We start from the raw sequence: 20,278 nt of genomic DNA, 5'->3' as shown, positions 1-20,278 counted from the left end.
TCTCCTGTCCCCTGCCCCACACATTCTAGCCACCTTGTCATCCCTGAATGCCATCCCAGATCTCTCAACTCTGCAAGACCAGGCCCCATGCGCCCCTCCCCTGCCCATAGGCAGTAAGCTGGTGCACTCAGCTCATCCTTCTGGTCTTTATTTCGTGCATCTTGTTGCCTAATGTCTGAAAGTGTTTCTTTTTCTTTTCCTTTATTTCTTATTGTTTAAATAAAACAGGAGAGTAAATCAAGTTCCTGTTACCCCAACTTACTTGAAATCCTCCATTCTTAATTTTTCCTAGATTTTCTTCTAGCCGTGCATCTTAGAAAGCCATCATATGCTCACTGAAGCATTACATATAATAACAAAACCATTTCTTTAACCAAAATTTTAAACTGAACATGCTCAAGGCTGAACTCATGGCATTCCTTTCCAAATCTCTGTGCTCCCTCTTCCCTCCTTTCTGCCCTTCCTCCAGGCAATCGCCATAGTAGTAAAAGGCTCTTCCATCCCAGGTACACATACCAGACACACGGGAGAAATCCTTAGCATTGCCCTCTTCCTCACCTACACATCTCATCACCTCGAAATGTTCATTTTGTCTCGAGGATATGTCTTCAGTCTTTCCACGTCTCTCCATCTCCACCCTCCACTGCTCCGGTAGTCTATTCGCCACCACCTCTTCCTGCTCCAGGAGCCTCCTAAGCACTCTCCTTTATCCATTCTTGTTCTTTCCAATGCATTCTTTATTCAGTAAGCAGAAAGATTTTTGAAATTATTTTTTAATCAAAGCAATAAATGCTGAATTAAAGTAAAAAAGGCTTATACCATGAGACTACTTTCCTGCCCAATTTCTCCCCAGTGCCTGCTTGCATTCCCTACCACTTTCTACTCGTTTACTGTTTCTGGCTTTTATTTTCATAATTCTAAATATGTGCTTATACTGTTACTTCTTGATTTATCAATTTTAGGTATCTGTTGATGTTTTTCCACTCAACTCTTTCTTTTTTTTTTTTTTTGAGATGGAGTCTCGCTCTGTTCCCCAGGCTGGAGTGCAGTGGCGCAATCTTGGCTCACTGAAACCTCTGCCTCCCCGGTTCAAGCGATTCTCCTGCCTCAGCCTCCTGAGTAGCTGGGATTACAAGCGCACACCACCACACCCAGCTAATTTTGTATTTTTAGTAGAGATGAGGTTTCACCATGTTGGTCAGGCTGGTCTGGAACACCTGACCTCAAGTTATCCACCTGCCCCAGCCTCCCAAGGTGCTGGGAATTGCAGGCATGAGCCACCTCACCTGGCCTCAACCCTTTCTTCTTTATTATAACTATTATAATTTTTGGCCGAATCACTGTCATTGTTTACATTAAGAAAGCAGACATTTTTACTTCCTGAGCCAAAATGTGTATTTTTACCTTTCCTGTCTCGTATGCCTTTTTTTTTTTTTCTCCTCCTTTTAGAGATTAGGTCTCATCATATTTCCCAGGCTGGTTTGTTTGTTTGTTTGTTTCTTTTTTTTGAAAGGGTCTTGCTCTTTCACCCAGGCTGGAGTGCAGTGGTGCAATCTCGGCTCAATGCAACCTCCACCTCCCAGGTTCAGGCGATTCTCATGCCTCAGCCTCCCGAGTAGCTGGGATTACAGGCACATGCCACCATGCCTGGCTAATTTTTGTTGTTTTTGTTTGTTTTTTCTGAGACAGAGTCTTTATCTGTCACCCAGGCTGGAGTGCAATGGCGCGACCTTGGCTCACTGCAACCTCCACCTCCCAGGTTCAAGCAATTCTCCTGTCTCAGCCTCTTGAGTAGCTGGGATTATAGGTACATGCCACCATGCCCAGCTAATTTTTTAATTTTTAGTGGAGGCGTGGTTTCACCACGTTGGCCAGGCTGGTCTCCAACTCCTGACCTCAGGTGATCCGCCCACCTTGGCCTCCCAAAGTGCTGAGATTACAGGCGTGAGCCACTGCGCCCAGCTTACTTTTTGTATTTTTAGTAGAGATGAGGTTTCACTATGTTGGCCAGGCTGGTCTCAAACTCCTGACCGCAGGTGATCCACCCACCTCGGCCTCCCAAAGTGCTGGGATTACAGGCGCCAGGCTGGTTTCTAACTCCTGGGGGCTCAAGCAGTTTTCCCATCTTTGCTTTCCAAAGTGTCATATATCTTTTTTATCATTTGCTGCTTTTGCAACATATATTTGTTGCTGATTCGTTTACTTTCTGTTATTCTCCTTAATTTTCAACATGATCAAATACATTTTTGGATTATAGTCAATCTCCCCACTTTTCTTTTTTTCTTCCTAGACATCCTCTTGCACTCTGGGGTGAATATTTTCTTGGCCAAGGTGTACAGTCACAGCCCTAGGATTTCCCTTCAGCATCATCTTCTCTCTTGTATTTGATCTTTGAGTTTTCCTCAGTGTTGATTTGCTCTCTTATTTTGGTGGAATATATTCTCCATCAGGGTAGTAAGAAAAAGGTGAATAGGATGTAAATTTTTGAGATACTATATTTCTCTTTATTCTGCCCTTTGATAGAATTGTTGGATCAAAAATTATTTTTCTCTCAGAATTTGGAAGTCATTGTTAAATTATCTTTTGGCTTCCAATGTTGCTATTAATAGTCCTGGTAGTGTTTTTTTTTTCTTTTTTCTTTTATTTATTTTCTTTTCTTAAGAGACAGGGTCTTGCTCTGTTGCCCAGGCTGGACTGCAGTGACACAATCACAGCTCACTCTAATCTCTAACTCCTGGCCTCAAGTAATCTTCCTGCTTCAGCTTCTCCAGTAGCTGAGACTACAGGTGTGCACCACCATGCCTGCCTAATTTTTAAATTTTTTGTAGAGATGGGGTATCACTATGTTGCCTAGACTGGTCTTGAGCTCCTGACCTCAAGCAGCCCTCCCACCTTCGTCTCCCAAAGTGCTGAGATTACAGGCATGAGTCACCATGCCTGGCCTCCTAATAGTGTTCTTGATTTTTATTTTTAATCTTCTTTGTAGACTGCCTTTTCTCACTGGAAACTTTTAGGATCTTTTCTTTTCCCTGCCATTTTGAAATTTTGTAACAATGTGCCCTGCCTGGTTAGGGTTTTATTTTCATTCATTGTGATGGAGACTTCTGACCAGGGGATATTTCTTGTATTTATGCAGAGTTGTTTCATAATATTATTTCCTTGGTAATTTCCTCCTCTTTGTTTTCTCTGTTCTCGCTGTTACTGTTAGTCAGACATTGTTCTTGGATCGATCCACTTGCTTGACTTTATATTGGATTTTTTTTTTTTTTTTGGTGGCTATCACATTTTAATTTTCAGTGTTTTGGGGTTTTTTTTTTTTTTTTTTTTTTTGAGACGGAGTCTTGCTCAGCCACCCAGGCTGGAGTACAGTGGTGTGACCCCAGCTCACTGCAGCCTCCACCTCCTGGGTTCAAGTGATTCTCCTGCCTCAGCCTCCCAAGTAGCTGGGATTACAGGCACTCACAACCATGCCTGGCTCATTTTTATATTTTTAGTAGAGATGGGGTTTCACCATGTTGCCCAGGCTGGTCTCGAATTCCTGACTTTGGGTAATCCACCCGCCTCGGCCTCCCAAAGTGCTGGGATTACAGGCATGAGACACTGTGTCTGGCCAGTTTTCAGTGTTTTATATTTCTATCTGGATGTTTGTTATATAGGTATTCTTAAATATATTTAAGATTTGTGGACTTTATATAAGTTATACTTCAACAGAATAGTGAAAATAATGGAAAGGACCCTTCCCCCTCTGTTGTTAATATCTAAAGTCTCTTAATCTCTCTCTCTCTTTTTTTTTTGTTTTTGTTTTGAGACAGAGTTTTGCTGTTGTCGCCCAAGCTGAAGTGCAATGGTGCAATCTCGGCTCACTGCAACCTCCGCCTCCTAGGTTCAAGCAATTCTCCTGCCTCAGCCTCCTGAGTAACTGGGACTACAGATGCACGCCATCATGCCCAGCTAATTTTTGTATTTTTAGTAGAGACAGGGTTTCACCATGTTGGCCAGGCTGATCTTGAATTCCTGACCTCAAGTGATCCACCCACCTCGGCCTCCCAAAGTGCTGGGATTACAGGCGTAAGCCACCGTGCCCGGCCTCTCATTGTTTTTTATATTATCCTGTTTATCTCTTCTAGATGTCATTGTCTTTTTCTCAGCCTCTTCATTAAGCACGTTGTGTTTTGTTCTCTGTAGTCTGCATTGTGTCTGTTTCTCATAAGTTATTTTTCTTTTTGTTTGGTCTCTGTCTTTCCTGTTAGAAGGTTTGTTGGTGTTGCATTGCTGCCATAACAAATTACCATAAATTTAGCAGCCTGAAACAACACGAATTTATCTCACAGTCACTGTAGGTTAAAGGTGTGTACACGTGGCTCACCTGTGTCCTCTATAGACTCTTAAGTGGCTGAAGTTAAGGTGTCAGCAGGGCTGCGTTCCTTCCTGGAGGCTGTGAGAATGAATTTTGCTTGGTAGAATTTGGTTCTTTGTGATTGTAAGACTAAGATTCCCTCTGGCTTGTCTGCTAGGGGTCATTCTCAGCTCCTAGAGGCTCTCCACATTGCTTGTTGCCCCCTTCCTCTATCTTCAAAGCCAGTAACAGCAAGTCAAGGTCTTCTGTCTGAATTTATCTGACCACTCCTTCTGTCTCATCTCTCTTCTTCCTGCCTCTTCTGTGCTGGAGGCCTCATGTGATTACGTTGGGCTCACCCAGATAACCCAGGATAATCTCCCTAAAATCATTTGATAAGTGATCTTAATTCATTTGCAAAAACTCCTCACAGCAGTACCTAGATTGGTGTTTGTGTAACCATGGGTAGGGATATTAAACTTCAGTATTCTGCCCACCCCAGAAGCCTTTCTCAAGTGTCTAGTAATCATTGGCTGGCTGTTCCTATGTTTAATGCTGGGGCTTTTTTTTTTTTTTTTTTTTGAGACAGAGTCTCGCTCTGTCGCCTAGGCTGGAGTGCAGTGGCGCGATCTCGGCTCACTGCAAGCTCCGCCTCCCGGGTTCAAGCCATTCTCCTGCCTCAGCCTCCGGAGTAGCTGGGACTACAGGCGCCCGCCACAACGCCCAGCTAATTTTTTTTTTTTTTTTTTTTTTTTTTGTATTTTTAGTAGAGACCGGGGTTTCACCACGTTAGTCAGGATGGTCTCCATCTCCTGATTTCGTGATCCGCCCGCCTCGGCCTCCCAAAGTGCTAGGATTACAGGCATGAGCCACTGCGCCTGGCCTGGGGCAATATCAGTACCTAATAGGAAGCTCTATATTGGGTGGAGTTTAGCTCATCATCCCTCTGTAAGGTATTTAGACATATTGAGCAAGCTTTTTCAAACATCACTATCTAAAAGATCTTTTCCCTAGGGCTATTCAGGTTCTGTTTGTAAAGGATCCTAAAGGGTGTGTGTCTGTGGAGTAGGTTACCTGAGTTTAATTCAGTAATGGAACAGGAAAGGGATGCTGGGGCGGACTAAATTTTTTCAGGTAGTCTATCTGTTTTCTGTGCCTCAGTTTGATGATTAGAACAGTGAATCAGGGTGTTACCCATTGGTACCTCCTTCTACAAACACCTTGGTTTTATATTTCTCCAGTTTACAAAGTTACTGTTCCATCTGACTTCTGCTTCCCAAAACTTTTCTGAGATTTCTTATCCCATATTTTCTTCCATTTTGGGGGCCCTTATAGGTTTATGTTTTCTTTATTTTTTACGTGATTTTGAAAGGAGTGAAAATAAATGCACGTATTCAATATACTTTTTTAACCAGAAACGCTTTATCTTCCCTGAGAACCCTTCTTTACCTCAGTTTCTCAATTCCCCTCACCCTCATGCTTTTTTATATGTATAGTATTTATATAGCCTGTGTAGATTAGACTAGATTCATCTTCTGTTTGATAACATGCTAATTATAATGAACATTAAATTTCGTTGCTATCACTGGGTGTAGTGGCTCAGGCCTGCTGCATTCCCAGTATTTTGGGAGGCTGAGGCAGGAGGATTGCCTGAGCCTGGGAAGTCGAGGCTGCTGTGACCTGTGAGCACACTAACACTACTTCATTCCAGCCTGGGTGACAGTGAGCCCCTATCTTTAAAACAAACAAACAAACAAAAAAAAACATTGCTATATATTCTGTTATAGAGGTTCTGGAGCATTGCTTTGTGTAGTGCCTCATAAATGCTAGCTTATCCTTATTGAAATGTAAAATTGAGCATAAATTAGTATAGTATTTTGGTATGGCTATTTTAAAGTTTTCATGTCTCACAGTCCTCTGGGTATGTTTTATTTTGGTATAAATCTTGTTTACTTACTTATGTTCTTCTCCAGCCCCACTCTTACACATTTAGAAATCTTATACAGATTTCTAAGTCTGTTAATTACTTCTTGATACAAGGCATACAGTAAATCAGTAAGTCCTAAATTCTCATGTCAGTGAAATGATCAGTATCTTAATGTGGAGAGTTAGGTTTACTTTGTTATTGTTGTAATGAAATGCAAACCACTTTTTCACACTTCATATGCAGCCAATGGCTACCCAGTTCCAATATGGAACTACCTACCATTAGAAAAATAAGTCATTCTTGCTACCCTTCATTCTCTCCCTTCCCTAAACTAGTGATTATCAAGAAGCTGGAGGCTAGGTGCAGTGGCTCACACCTGTAATCCCAGCACTTTGGGAGGCCGAGGAGGGCAGATCACTAGGTCAGGAGATCGTGACTATCCTGGCTAATACGGTGAAACCCTGTCTCTACTAAAAATACAAAAACTTAGCTGGGTGTGGTGGCGGGCGCCCGCAATCCCAGCTACTCCGGAGGCTGAGGCAGGGGAATCGCTTGAGCCCAGGAGGCAGAGGTTGCAGTGAGCTGAGATTGTGGCACTGCACTCCAGCCTGGGCGACAGAGCAAGACTCCGTCTCAAAAAAAATAAATAAATAAAAGCTGGAATCAGAATTGCCTACAGAACTTATATAAAACAAGCCGCTAGAGCCCTGAGCTACTGCAAAAATCTGGGGATATGGTCCCAGCATGTATTTTTAATATTATTATTATTGATTTTACAAGCAATTCTCATGGGCCCATCTAGTTAAGAACTGCTTTATCTACTTAAGACAGACAAAAAAGCTACTTAACAATATTCTTTTACTAATGTAAATATGCATATTAATATACATTTAATACTACCTGGTTTGTGAGCCAGACAGAAAATGACCTAGGAACAAAAATACATTTGAATCATGTAGTACAGTGACTCTCAAACCTGGGGGATATGGCGGAAACATTTGGGAGAACTTTTCGAAATGTAATGCTTGCCTTACTGTCTCCCACTAAATAGTGCCTGTGGTGACTTTGTTAGAAGCATATCATATCTCAGGCATGAGATTTGTTATGTAAGGATTTGTTATTTATCCTTCAATACTTTTTAGATTTTTCACCACATACTAGTACTTGATTTACTTTGGAGAAATGAATGGGTGGAGAGAGAGTACCACCACCACCCTGCCTCCACTTAATGTTGAAGCAGTGTAGACAACTGCTTATTCAGAGGCTTGGAATTTTCTAATGCCTTTATTTTATCCCAGTATGGCCCCACTGGCATTTAAAGCTGAGGGTACGTTGTGAATTAAAAGTAGAATTCATAAACCATTAGATCTCTTCACATGTTAAATCTTACTCCTTTAAAAATAACTCTAGGAAGTAATGATGCAGTTGTATTAGATAAATCTTAGGTTCAAAGAATATACTTGAAATCACTTCTGAGTTTCTGAACCTACCTAATTATAGTAATTATTGCTAATCCATGAAACCCCAAAAATTACATTTGAGGATAAGTGGATTAACTTTATATCTTAAATATACAAGAATGAAGAAAATATTTGATTTTTAATTGTGTAACTTTAGCTGAAAAATGCTGTAGTATGTTTTTTAAAAAAACCAGATATGCCTAGATGCTTTCAAGAAAGTGGCAGAATTTAAGGAGCAGGTATTTACTTAACATGATTTCTGCTCTTTATTAGATATACTTACCCCAAATTTATTAATAATTAAAGAGCAGTTATATTTACCTACTCTGTGGTCACATATTCGTTCAGGATAGTTCTTCTGCTAATTCCATTTTCAGGTTTCAGAAACCGATCAGAAAATAGCCTGTAAAATACAGAACAAAATGAAAACCTAGTTATGTCCCACAGTGTTTCTTTCTTTGTGGGGTTTTTTTTTTGGTTGTTTTTTTTTTTTTTTTTTGAGACGGAGTTTCACTCTCCTTGCCCAGGCTGGAGTGCAATGGCATGATCTTAGCTCACTGCAACCTCCGCCTCTTGGGTTCAAGCGATTCCCCTGCCTCAGCCTCCCGAGTAGCTGGAATTACAGGCATGCGCCACCATGCCCAGCTAATTTTGTATTTTTAGTAGAGACGGGGTTTCACCATGTTGGCCAGGCTGGTTTCAAACTGCTGACCACAGGTGATCCACCCGTCTCAGCCTCCCAAAGTGCTGGGATTACAGGCGTGAGCCGTCGTGCCTGGCCGAGTGTTTCTAAGAGTAACGTTGAAATAACCAACAGAAAACCTGACCAAAACCCACATACTTATTAAAATAATTTATTTGGACTTCTTATTTAAACATGGACAATGTTTATATAAAAATTCTTTTTAAAAAAGAAAGTCCAGTGTGGTTTGCAGTAATTGCTCCCATGTTAATTTTTACATGCAAATTAACTTTGATTTGAAGAAATCTTACAGAAAAATGAGAAAAGGAAGAAAATATATATAAATTATTAAAAACACGAGATGTACGTTACTACTAATCAAAGACATAAAACAAGAACATATATCCATCTTGTTCCATCTTTGCCTTAAAATTATTATAACCTTTAATCCAGTAATTCTATTCCAGTGAATTCTGAAATAAAATATGGAAAAAGATGGACATAGATGTTTGTAGAATTATTAAATATTATTTATAATGGGCTCAGTATTAGAAGAATGATTAAATTATGATTTATTTACATAGAATATTATGCAGTTGTTAAAATGATTTGCTAGTCATGTTTCACCTTTTATGAAAACATTTTATTTTTTGCCCTGTCTTATGGTACTGAAAGAACACATTTTAAATGATTCAGTTATTTATATTTTTTGAGGAGGGAGGTAACTTCCAAATTTCTACCATGGTGTGTGTGTGTGTGTGTGTGTGTGTGTGTGTGTGTGTGTGTGTGTGTGTTTTATTTGTTTTGCAGATGGTCTTGCTCTGTCACGCAGGCTGGAGAGCAGTGGCCCAGTCACGGCTCACTGCAGCTTCCAGGCTCAGGCAGTCTTCCCACCTCAGCCTCCTGAGTAGCTGGGACTCTAGGTGTGCACCACTATGCCTGGCTAATTTAAAAAAAAATTTTGTTTGTAGAGAAAAGGTCTTCCTAGGTTGCCCAGGCTGGTCTTGAACTCCTGAGCTCAAGCAGTTCTCCCACTTTGGCCTCCCAAAGTCCTGGGATTACAGGCGTGAACCACTGTGCCAGGTCTCTGTTGTTAGCCATTTTATAATTAGAGGAAAAACATTAAGACACAAATACTTACAAAGCATTTGTTATGTATCATTTAATTTATACAACTACCTCCTGAGGCACTGTTGTCATTTTAGATAAGGAAACTCAGACACCGACAGGCTGAGTAGCTTGTCCAGAGTCACACAGCTAATAAATAGTGGAACTAGGATTTGAATCTAGGTAGTTTGGCTGTGTGCTTCCACCTTAAATTGTGCCTCATCAACTCTGTAGCAGCATGGTAGGATCCTAGTTTCAGGTCCCCTACAAACAAAAAGCTTTCTGAATTTATAATATTGGGTTGAATCTAGTGGATGTCATGGGCTCCTAAAGCTGTAAACTGCCACATGTAAAATTTTGATCCAGTAATTAGCAATCTACAGCTTTACAAGTTTTGTAGTGATATGAATTGTGTTGTCTGTTCTCTTCATACTCTGACATATAGTATAGTGCTGCCAGACATTGTGATACACAGTCACGTGCTGCATAACAATATTTTGGTCAACGATGAACCACATATCCAGTGATAGTTCCTTAAGATTATAATGGAGTTGAAAATTTTCCGTCTCCTTGTGATGATGTAGCTTTTGTAACATCATAGTGCGATTACTTTATTTTTTAAATACATTTTAAAAATAAGTGCAGTGGCTCACGCCTATAATCCCATCACTTTGGGAGGCCAAGGAGTTTGGAGACCAGCCTGGGCATCATGACAAGACCCTATCTCTACAAAAAAATAAAATGAAATTGCCTAAGGACACATTTCTCAGAACACATCCCCATCCTTAAGTGACGCATGACTGTAGACCTATTGCTTCTCCTTTCTGCGGCTTTTCTTTTTTATTGTTAATTTTTGGGTTCTTCATCGTTTCACAGTTTTTTAATTAACTTTATTGTAGTATAATAGATACACCATAAACTGTATCTATTTAAAGTGTGAAATTTGAGTTGTGACAGATATTTATACCTCTGAAACCACCACAATCAAGATTCAGAATATTTCTGTCACCTGTCAAACTTCAGCTACCAGCAAATTGATCTGCTTTCTGTCACTATGGATTTGTTGGCATTTTCTGGAATTTTGTGAATGGAATCACATATACTCTTTTCTAATTTATCTTCCACTTAATATAATAAATTTGAGAGTCATTCATTTTATTGCATGTGTCAGTTGTTTCTTTTTACTGATTGGTGAGTTGTGTTCCATTGTCTAAGTAGTATACCGTTGGTTTGCAAATATCACATTTTTGTTTATCCATCTGGGTTATTTTCAGTTTTGGCTTTTATGAATCAAGTTATTACAAATGTGCTTTTCATCTTCTTGGGTAAATAACTAGGGGTAGAATGTCTGGAGTTGTGTGGTACATGTATGTTTATACAGAATTGCTGAGCTGTTTTCAAAAAATTGTCTCATTTAATAGTCCTACCAGCTGCTTATGAGAGTTCAAGTTCCTCTTCACATCCTCACTGACACTGAGTAGTAACGTCTTTTTAATGCTGGCCTCTTTGATGTATGGGTACTGCTATCTCATTGTGGTTTTAATTTGTATTTCCCTGATGACTGATAACGTCAAGTATCTTTTCATGTGCTGCTTGGTCATATTTCTTTGATGAAGTGATTGTCCAGATCTTAGTTCATTTGTCTTCTTGAGTTGTTAGGGCTCTTTTTATATTCAGAATACAAGACTTTTGTCAGATATGTGTGCTGCAAATATGTTGTCCCACTGTATGCTTGCCTTTTTTGTTTTCTCAACAGTGTCTTTTAAAGAGTAGGTAGGTTGGGGTTTTTTTTTTTTTTTTATTTTTAAATAAAGGGCAATTTTTTGTGGTTCCTTTTTTGTGTGTCCTATCTAAGAAATCTTTGTCGTCTTATGCTTTCTTCTAGTTTCATTATTTTGACTGTTACATTTAGATCAGTGGTCATTTAGAATTAATTTTTGCTATTGTTATAAGGGTTAATGGTCTTTAAAACATATATATATGAATCATTGTTCAGCACTTTGTTGAAAAGATTTTTCTTTCTCCTTGGATTGCCTTGGTACCTTTGTCAAAAAATTCTGATCACCCATATGTAGGTCTGTTTTGGGGGCCCTCTTCTGTTTCATTCATCTGTACGTCTTATCATTTAGCCAGTAAGTTCAGTGTCTTGATTGATACAGCTTTATGATGTCTTAAAATCAGTTAGTGTAAGTCGTCCAATTTTGTTCTTTTTAAGAATGTCTTTGACTATTCTAGGATTGTTCTCATTTTCATATAAATTTTACAATCTGTCAACTTCTACAGAAAAGCAAATTGGAATTTTGACTGGCATCTCATTAAATCTTTAGCTTAATTTGAGGAGAATTGACTTCTTAACAAAATTGAGTCTTGAAATTTGTGAACATCGTGTGCAATATATATTGTGTGTGTGTGTGTTTAATTGGGTCATTTTTAATTTCTTTTGTTATTTTCATTTAACCATTTTCCTTGTTATCAGACTCCTCAAATGAAAATAGATCAGAAACTTGTAGCCATTTGATACAGGGCAGAATATTTGAATCAATTAAAATTTGAGATTTGGGGCCGGGCACGGTGGCTCACGCCGGTAATCCCAGCACTTGAGAGGCCGAGGCAGGCGGATCACCTGAGGTCAGGAGTTCAAGACCAGCCTGATCAACATGGAGAAACCCTGTCTCTATTAAAAATACAAAATTAGCCAGGCGTGGTGGCACATGCCTGTAACCCCAGCTGTTCAGGAGGCTGAGGCAGGAGAATCACTTGAACCTGGGAGGTGGAGGTTGTGGCGAGCCGAGATTGCTCAATTGCACTCCAGCCTGGGTAACAAGAGTGAAACTCCGTCTCAAAAAAAAAAAAACAAAACTGGGATTTGGTAATGATTTAAAAGTATCATTACATTTACTTCATTTATCACGTGTACCTTATGACATACAGAATGAGTGAAGGACATATAAACTCAATTTTTCTTCCAGTTTTAGATAAAAAATAAATATATAAATAAGGGCTTCTAATATTTTCTTTCCGTACCCTAGTAGATTGTTATTTCCACTTTGAGGTCATTACATTTATTATATAGTTACGAATTAAGAATGCTTTGGGTAGTTTAAGTGTCATAATCAGTGTTTTGCATGACATCAATGTCTGACACAACTCAGACATACAGAAGGAAGTTACACATTCTTATCTTGAAACAATAGATTTACTAAGTGTAAAATGTTTAAATTTTCCTTTGTTCTAGTAAAACAATCTATTTTATTAACAGATATCAGACACCCCGAAGAACTTTCTCTCTTAAAGAAACCCAGAGATCCAACAAAGAAAAAAAAGAAGAAGCTAGATGACCAGTCTGAAGATGAGGCACTTGAATTAGAGGGGCCTCTTATCACTCCTGGATCAGGTAAGACTTTTACCAAGCAATGGACTCAAAGTAAGAACTGTGGACTGTGTACCTTTGTCTTTCTGGTGGTGGGTAAATGGATCATGTAGGTCAGGAAGAGTGGTCAAGTTAAAAAAACAAAAACTTCAATTAGCCAGGCATGGTGGCACACACCTGTAGTCCCAGCTACTTGGGAGGCTGAGGCAGAAGAATCGCTTGAACCCGGGAGGCAGAGTTGCAGTGAGCCAAGATCGTGCCACTGCACTCCAGCCTGGGTGACAGAGTGAGACTCCGTCTCAAAAAAAACATAAACTCTCCTTCAGCATTTTTCTCTGTCCTGAAATCACTATCCAGTGTCAGTTTCTCTCATGTGCAAATCATCATGTCAGGTGTTAATAGTTGAATCAATAAAGAGGAAGCCCAGTTCTCTTGTTCAGAGAGTCAAAAAGGAATAGTATCATAATTGGACTCAGGCAGAAATTGGAAATTTTTTTAGTATCTAGTTCATGAAAACCACCACTATTTGGTTAATGCATTATTCCTTAAAACCTTACTTAAGGCCAGGCGCGGTGGCTCACGCCTGTAATCCCAGCACTTTGGGAAGCCAAGGCAGGTGGATCACGAGGTCAGAGAGCGAGACCATCCTGGCTAACACAGTGAAACCCTGTCTCTACTAAAAATACCAAAAAAAATTAGCTGGACGTGGTGGCACGTGCCTGTAGTCCCATCTACTTGGGAGAGTGAGGCAGGAGAATCACCTGAACCCAAGAGGTGGGAGTTGCAGTGAGCTGAGATCGTGCCACCACACTCCAACTTGGGCAAGAAGAGCAAAACTCCATCTCAAAAAAAAAAAAAAACAAAAAACAGCACCAGGCGGGGTACTGTGGCTCACACCTGTAATCCCAGCACTTTGGGAGGCCAAGGCAGGCAGATCACCTGAGGTCAGGTATTTGAGACCAGCCTGGCCAACGTGGTGAAACCCCATCTTGACTAAAAATACAAAAATTAGCTGGGCGTGGTGACAGGCACCTGTAATCTCAGCTACTTGGGAGGCTGAGGCAGGAGAATTGCTTGAACCCAGGAGGCGGAGGTTGCAGTGAGCCAACCTGGGTGACAACTCCGTCTCAAAAAAAAAAAAAAAAAAAAACAAAAAACAGCCTTCTCTCTGCTTTGCATATTCTGGTTTCCGGGCCTTCCTACCTTTTTTCCTTAAAGGTTTTGCTCCTTTGAGGAGCTTTCTTAGATTCCCTTTCATTACTTTTCCAATCTGAATTAGGCATCTTTCTGTCATGAGTCAGCAGACTTTTCTGTGTTTGGTATTGTTATACTGTGTGTTCTTCCTTGCTAATGTGAGCTCACTGCATGAAGGGGCTATGTCACCTTTTTGTCACCAGAACCTAACTCAGCATATGGCATTCAGCAGGCATGCAGGTGATGTCTGTTGGGAAGCTAAGTGGCTAATTAATTAGGTTATATTGTTCTTTAATCGTGGGCATATACCTGGACTGAACATTGCAGTTTCCTACATTTCCATCAGCCACAAATGTATAAATCCATTACTTAGGATGGGTCCCCTCAGCAAATATCTAAATTAATCTTACTAATTTAGTTCATTCTGGTTTTTTAAATTCTGAGATGATGATGATACTAATAATGAAAGCAGCACTCACAGAGCACTTACTGTGCAGTGCCCACCACTATTTCATGCACTTTACCCATGGAAACCCATGTAATTCTCACTACAGCTCTTTGCAGTAGATATTGTTAATACCCACATTTTGAGGATAAGGATAAGAAATTATGGCACAGTAAAAAGTCTTCTAAGGTCACAAGCCTTCTAACTTTTCTGTTTTATGTACTGATTGCATTTTGAAAGATACAAAGAAGTAAGACAATCCTTACTCTTAAGTAGTTTATAGGTTAGTGGAAAAACAGTTACTATACTTAAGGAGGTAATATATAAATGTTAAATGACTTTTATAGAAGATAGTGTTTTTGAAATTCAGAAAACAATTCCAAACAAAGTTTGTGAATTCAGCTTTTAAGTTCCAGTGGCTAGGTTTTTGATGGGAAAAGGCAGTCCAAGCAGAAAGAATGATACTAACAAAGAACATCCTTGCAAAAATACAAGATGTGAATAAATGAGTTGAGCCAGTTTATGGGGGAAGAGACCTCCGAGCTCCTTCAGGATAACATTGGAACATATTTAACAACAGACGATGGAATTTAGACTAGGGCATTGTAGAACCATTGGTTTCTGAATATTTTACAAAATTATCAAATCATTATTGTAGAAAGAGTATCAAATTTACTTCCAGTCAGTAATTTGTACAGGAGGGAATATGGGGAAGGGTTGCCGATACTGGTGGAAGCCTGTAGGTTGAGGAAGAGGTAAAAGAGAATAAAAGGGGCCAGGCGCGGGTGGCTTACGCCTATAATCCCAGCACTTTTGGGAGGCTGAGGTGGGTGGATCACCTGAGGTCAGGAGTTCGAGACCAGCCTGACCAACATGGTGAAACCCCATTTCTACTAAAAATACAAAATTAGCCAGGCGTGGTGGTGGGTACCTGTAATCCCAGCTACTCTGGAGGCTGAGGCAGGAGAATCGCTTGAACCTGGGAGGCGGAGGTTGCAGTGAGCCGAGATTGTGCCACTGCATTCCAGTCTGGGCGACAGAGCAAGACTCTGTCTCAAAAAAAAAAAAAGAGGATAAAAGATTATGTCTATGTAATATTGTGACATAGTAAGAAATATATATAGTCATGTGCTGCATAGTGATGTTTTGGTCAATAACAGATCACATATATGACTGTAGTCCCATAAGATTAAAATACTGTCTTCTTTTTTTTCTTTTCTTTTTTTTTTTTTTCAGACGGAGTGTCACTCTGTCGCCCAGGCCGGAGTGCAGTGGCTGCGATCTCGGCTCACTGCAACCTCCGCCTCCTGGGTTCAAGCGATTCTCCTGCCTCAGCCTCCTGAGTAGCTGGGATTACAGGCGTGCATCACCACACCCGGCTAATTTTTTGTATTTTTAGTAGAGATGGGGTTTCACCATGTTGGTCAGGCTGGTCTCGAACTCCTCACCTCCTGACCTCATGATCGATCCACCTGCCTCGGCCTCCCAAAGTGCTGGGATTACAGGCGTGAGCCACCGCACCCAGCCTTCTTTATTTTATGTATTTTTTTTTTTTTTTGAGACACAGTCTCACTGTGTCACCCAGGCTGGAGTGCAGTGGAGCAATCTTGGCTCTCTGCAGCCAAGATACAGGCAATTCTCCTGCCTCGGCCTCCTGAGTAGCTGAGACTATAGGCGCACACCACCATACTTGGCTAATTTTTGTATTTTTAGTAGAAATGGGGTTTCACCATGTTGGCCAGACTGGTCTTGAACTCCTGGTCTCAAGTGATCCACCCACCTTGGCCTCCCAAAGTGTTGCGATTACAAGCATGAGCCAACACCTGGCCCTGTATTTTCACTCTACCTTTTCTATGTTTAGAGATGTTTAGATACACAGATACAGATACTTACCATTGTGTTACAGTTGCCTGCAGCATTCAGTACAGTAACATGCTGTACAGGTTTGTAGCCTGGGAGCAATAGACTATACCATCCGTATAGCCTAGGTGTGTAGAAGGCTATACCATCCAGGCCTGTATGAGTACACTCTATGATGTTCATACAACAGTGAAATCCCTTAACGACACATTTCTCAGAACTTATCCCTATTGTTAGTAGGTGCATGACTGTACTAACTTGCACCTTTGTCATTGCATCATTGGGCTGTTCCTGTGCTGCCCAGTTTTTGGCTAGCTTGTGCCCAAGCAGAGCATCCTTACCAATTCTTACACTCCCCAATCTTGGCTTCCCTTGTTCTTTTTCACCCAGTTCCCTTTTCACCCAGACTGCAGCTGCTTTTATTTCTGGTCTGTGTACTATTCCTCAGTTCTTTCCTTTCAGAGGCTAGACCTTTGGACAGCTTTGAATGTCCTAAGGGACATTTGTGGCCTCTTTATTTGTAAGAGATCCTTTTCAGAAAGAAAACCAATGTTTTTATTAAAACGTTGCTATTACTGACAACCACATTTATTGAGCAACTTCTTGTCCAAAACACTACATGTAATATATTTAATCCACACAGTAAAATATATTAATTAATTGAGCAATTCTGAAAAATTGGTAGCATGAGAAGAGAAACCCAGAGTGGCTAAATCACTTGCCTGGGAGCTAATCCCTGGTAACTGGTAGAGCTGAGCTGTAAGCCCAGGCTCATCCCGCTTCCAAGCTAGAGCTTTCACCATTGCACTGTGCACACACCCGTCTCCTTCTCCCTTCTGTCCCTCATGAGTACACACAGACCCATAATTTTAGCAAATACGTCAGTGGCCAGAGATGCCACAACCTAGCTTTTACTTAATTTTTGTAGCCTTGTTTACCTTAAAGAAAAAAAAAATTAATTAAAATTTAAATTCTCCAACAAATCCTTATACTGTACTCTACATGAGTAGTGGCAATCAGAGTCATCCCATATCAATATTAGAAGCGATAACGCTGAATGTTTCTATAAGTCTTAGAGAGTTAGAATTTGGGAAGCTGAGGAGGTTTTGTTGCCTGGAAACCATAGGTGAAGACCGGTATGCATAGAAATTCTTGAGAGTATGCTAGTCCAGGAAGCAGGAAATCTTAAAATTTTTACATCATACGGAAATGGCTAGAAGCAAACCCTGTGAGTATGAAAAATAAAATTATCAGCTTAGATCTTACAAAACAAAAAGACAAGAAGCTACTGGTAGAATTGGAAGCATTGGATAATTTTGTAATAGTTCCAGAACTTACTAAATTTTGCTTCTCTTCCCTTCAGCTTGGTGATAATGACAAATTGTAGGAAAGCTGGTTAGTATATAACTTAAGCTAATGAATAATCGTGATTGAGTTAGCATCAGTCTTTTCACTGAATTCTTAAGCTGGGCTGCCTTGATTAAGACATAGTAATTTAGATTGAGCAACCCACTAATACTTTTCCTTTTATAAGTCACATCTAATACGAATACTAATCCGTATTTTAAAAATACTTTCGTTTGGTAGGAAAGTGGGTTGCAAACCAAAATCACAAATAAGCCTTATGGTTTGTTTTTTTCCTCTTGGTTGTCTCTGATTTTTAATGGTTGGAGAGTAGTGTATATTGTTGATATAAACAAAATAAATATATGAATTTATATTCTAGGAGAAAATTTAGCCACATAGAAATAAACGTATATAATGTCAGGTTTTTCCTCCTCCATGGTCAACAATTACATACATAGTAAATAAGTTATAAGTATTATTGAATACATAATCTTTCACTTAATCGCCACAAAATACCAGCAGTTTTGGTGATGTCTTCATTTTACTTCTGAGGAAATAACTCCACAAGGGTTAAGTGGAGTTATTTTCCCAAGGTTAAGTAATTTTATTTAACCTTTTAGTTAAATAAAGTTTAACTTTTTTTAACTAAAGTTAAGTAATTTTAGTTAACTTTAGTTAAGTAATTTTCGTTACTTAGTTAAGTAATTTTCCCAAGGTCACAAAGGTAATAAGGAGCAGAGCTAGAATTCACATCCAGGCTCCGGTGCTCATGCTTCTAACCATTAAGTAACCAATTCTTTTTTTTTTAAGAGACAGGGTCTCTCTGTGTTGCCCAGGCTGGTCATCAACTCTTGGCCTCAAGTAATCCTTTCACCTCAGCCTCCCAAAGTGCTAGATTATGGGCATGAGCTACCATGCCTGGCCATAATGTTTATTTTATGAATTATAATAGGAATGTTTGCTAAATTTTTTCTTTCTTTTTTTTTTAAGGGACAGGGTCTTGCTATGTTACCCAGTCTGGTCTCAGACTTCTGGGCTCAAGTGATCCTCCTCCCTCCGCCTCCCAAGTAGTTGGGACTTCAGGCAGATGCCAGCATGGCCAGCTAATTTTTGTATTTTTTGTAGAGATGAGGTTTTGCCATGTTTCCCAGGCTGGTCTCAAGCAATCCTCCTGCCTTGGTCTCTCAGAAGTGCTGGGATAGCTACTAGGGAGGCTGAGGCAGGAGAATCACTTGAACCCGGGAGGTGGGGAGGTTGCAGTGAGCCAAGATCGCACCATTGCACTCCAGCCTGGGCGACAGAGCGAGACTCCATCTCAAAAAAAAAAAAAAAGTGCTGGGATCACTGCACCTAGCCTCAAAACATTTTTTAAAACTATTCTTTTAAGTACAAAAGTATCACATGCTTATAGTAAATATTCAAATATTACAGGATTACATATTCATTTTTTTTCTAACAAAAGTGGGACTGTGTTATACACACATTGTGTTTTCTCACTTGATGATACATACTGATGGACCTCATATATTTTTTAATTACAAAATTTATACATGAATACAGTCTCTTTATCATAAACTCAAGTAATATAAAAAATGTATTAAAATTAAGGTGAGTTCCTTTTAAACTTATTCCCTGGCTACTCCTTCTCAAGAGGGAGCCATTTCTTGATTACTACATATAACGAGGTTGTAAGTTTGGAGTCCAACTTGACAGTACCGTTTCTGTGTGTTTATATGCACAAGTGGGTATAAAATTTGCACATCTAGTCTTATTTTAATAACATAAATGAGATCCTAATATATATTTTATGCTCTGCAATTTGATTTTTGGTGATCAGTGTTTTAGTGATTTGTGTCAAAGCAGAGAAGTCTCCCTAGTTCTTATAAATGACTTCAGAGTTTTACCTATAGAAAAAGTATATTTACCTGTTTTTCTACCTAGGTGGTATCTAATTTTTCTGTCACATATATCCCAGAGCTGGGCGTTGTGGTGTACACCTGTAGTCCTAGCTACTTGGGAGGCTGAGACAGGAGGATCTCCTGAGCCCAGGAGTTCAACCTGGGTGGTCACACTGCTGCATTCCAGCCTGGGCAACAGAGCAAGACCCTGTCTCTAAAAAAATACATGTATGTGTAGATACATATATATCTATACATTATATCACACACACTCTGTCTGTCTCTCTCTCTCTCTCTCCCCCCCAAGAGTTTCTGTGGTTTATACTTCCATCAGTAGTACATGAAAATGCCCCATTTCCTACATTCTGCTCAATATTGAATGTTGTAAATCTGTGTTTTTGCCAGTTTGACAATAAGTAGTATCTCGGTTATTTTGCATTTCCCTAATACTAGGATAGTTGAATAATTTATATGTTTATTAGCCATTTATATTCTATTAATTTTCAAATGATAGATTCTTTATTTTATTTATATTTTTGCTTTTAGTGATATTAAAATTTTAATGTGTTACTTCCCTTTATATACTGGCATTTTGTTTGTGGCCTTTTTTTTTTAAAACCATATTGTTTTACATTTTTATGTGGTCTTATAT

The 20,278-nt window shown here is 39.6% G+C and overlaps 1 protein-coding gene and 1 long non-coding RNA gene across 9 annotated transcripts in view; one reads left to right on the top strand and one right to left on the bottom strand.

Annotated features, from left to right (window-relative positions):
- The window catches only part of LOC105370500 (uncharacterized), a 138,447-nt gene that overhangs the window by 24,036 nt on the left and 94,133 nt on the right, over positions 1-20,278 (bottom strand). Inside the window, exons 2-3 of one of the 2 annotated variants that reach the window (XR_007064167.1) lie at positions 8,045-8,126; positions 564-735 (exon numbers count right to left, since the gene is read on the bottom strand). This is a non-coding gene — a long non-coding RNA (uncharacterized LOC105370500). Of the gene's footprint in view, positions 1-563; positions 736-8,044; positions 8,127-20,278 lie in introns of those variants that run through there. The other variant, XR_943867.3, reaches the window with a different exon arrangement.
- FERMT2 (FERM domain containing kindlin 2) overlaps positions 1-20,278 on the top strand; it is a 93,778-nt gene that overhangs the window by 44,852 nt on the left and 28,648 nt on the right. For all 7 annotated transcript variants that reach the window (NM_006832.3, NM_001134999.2, XM_006720010.4 and 4 more), the window contains exon 4: positions 12,772-12,906. In NM_006832.3, coding sequence (NP_006823.1) covers positions 12,772-12,906 — 135 coding nt within the window. The remainder of the gene's footprint in view (positions 1-12,771; positions 12,907-20,278) is intronic.

This window comes from Homo sapiens, chromosome 14 (genome assembly GCF_000001405.40).
Source record: "Homo sapiens chromosome 14, GRCh38.p14 Primary Assembly".
Taxonomy (NCBI): Eukaryota; Metazoa; Chordata; class Mammalia; order Primates; family Hominidae; genus Homo; species Homo sapiens.
Note: the sequence above shows the minus strand (reverse complement) of the source record. Positions and strands in the feature narration are given on the sequence as shown.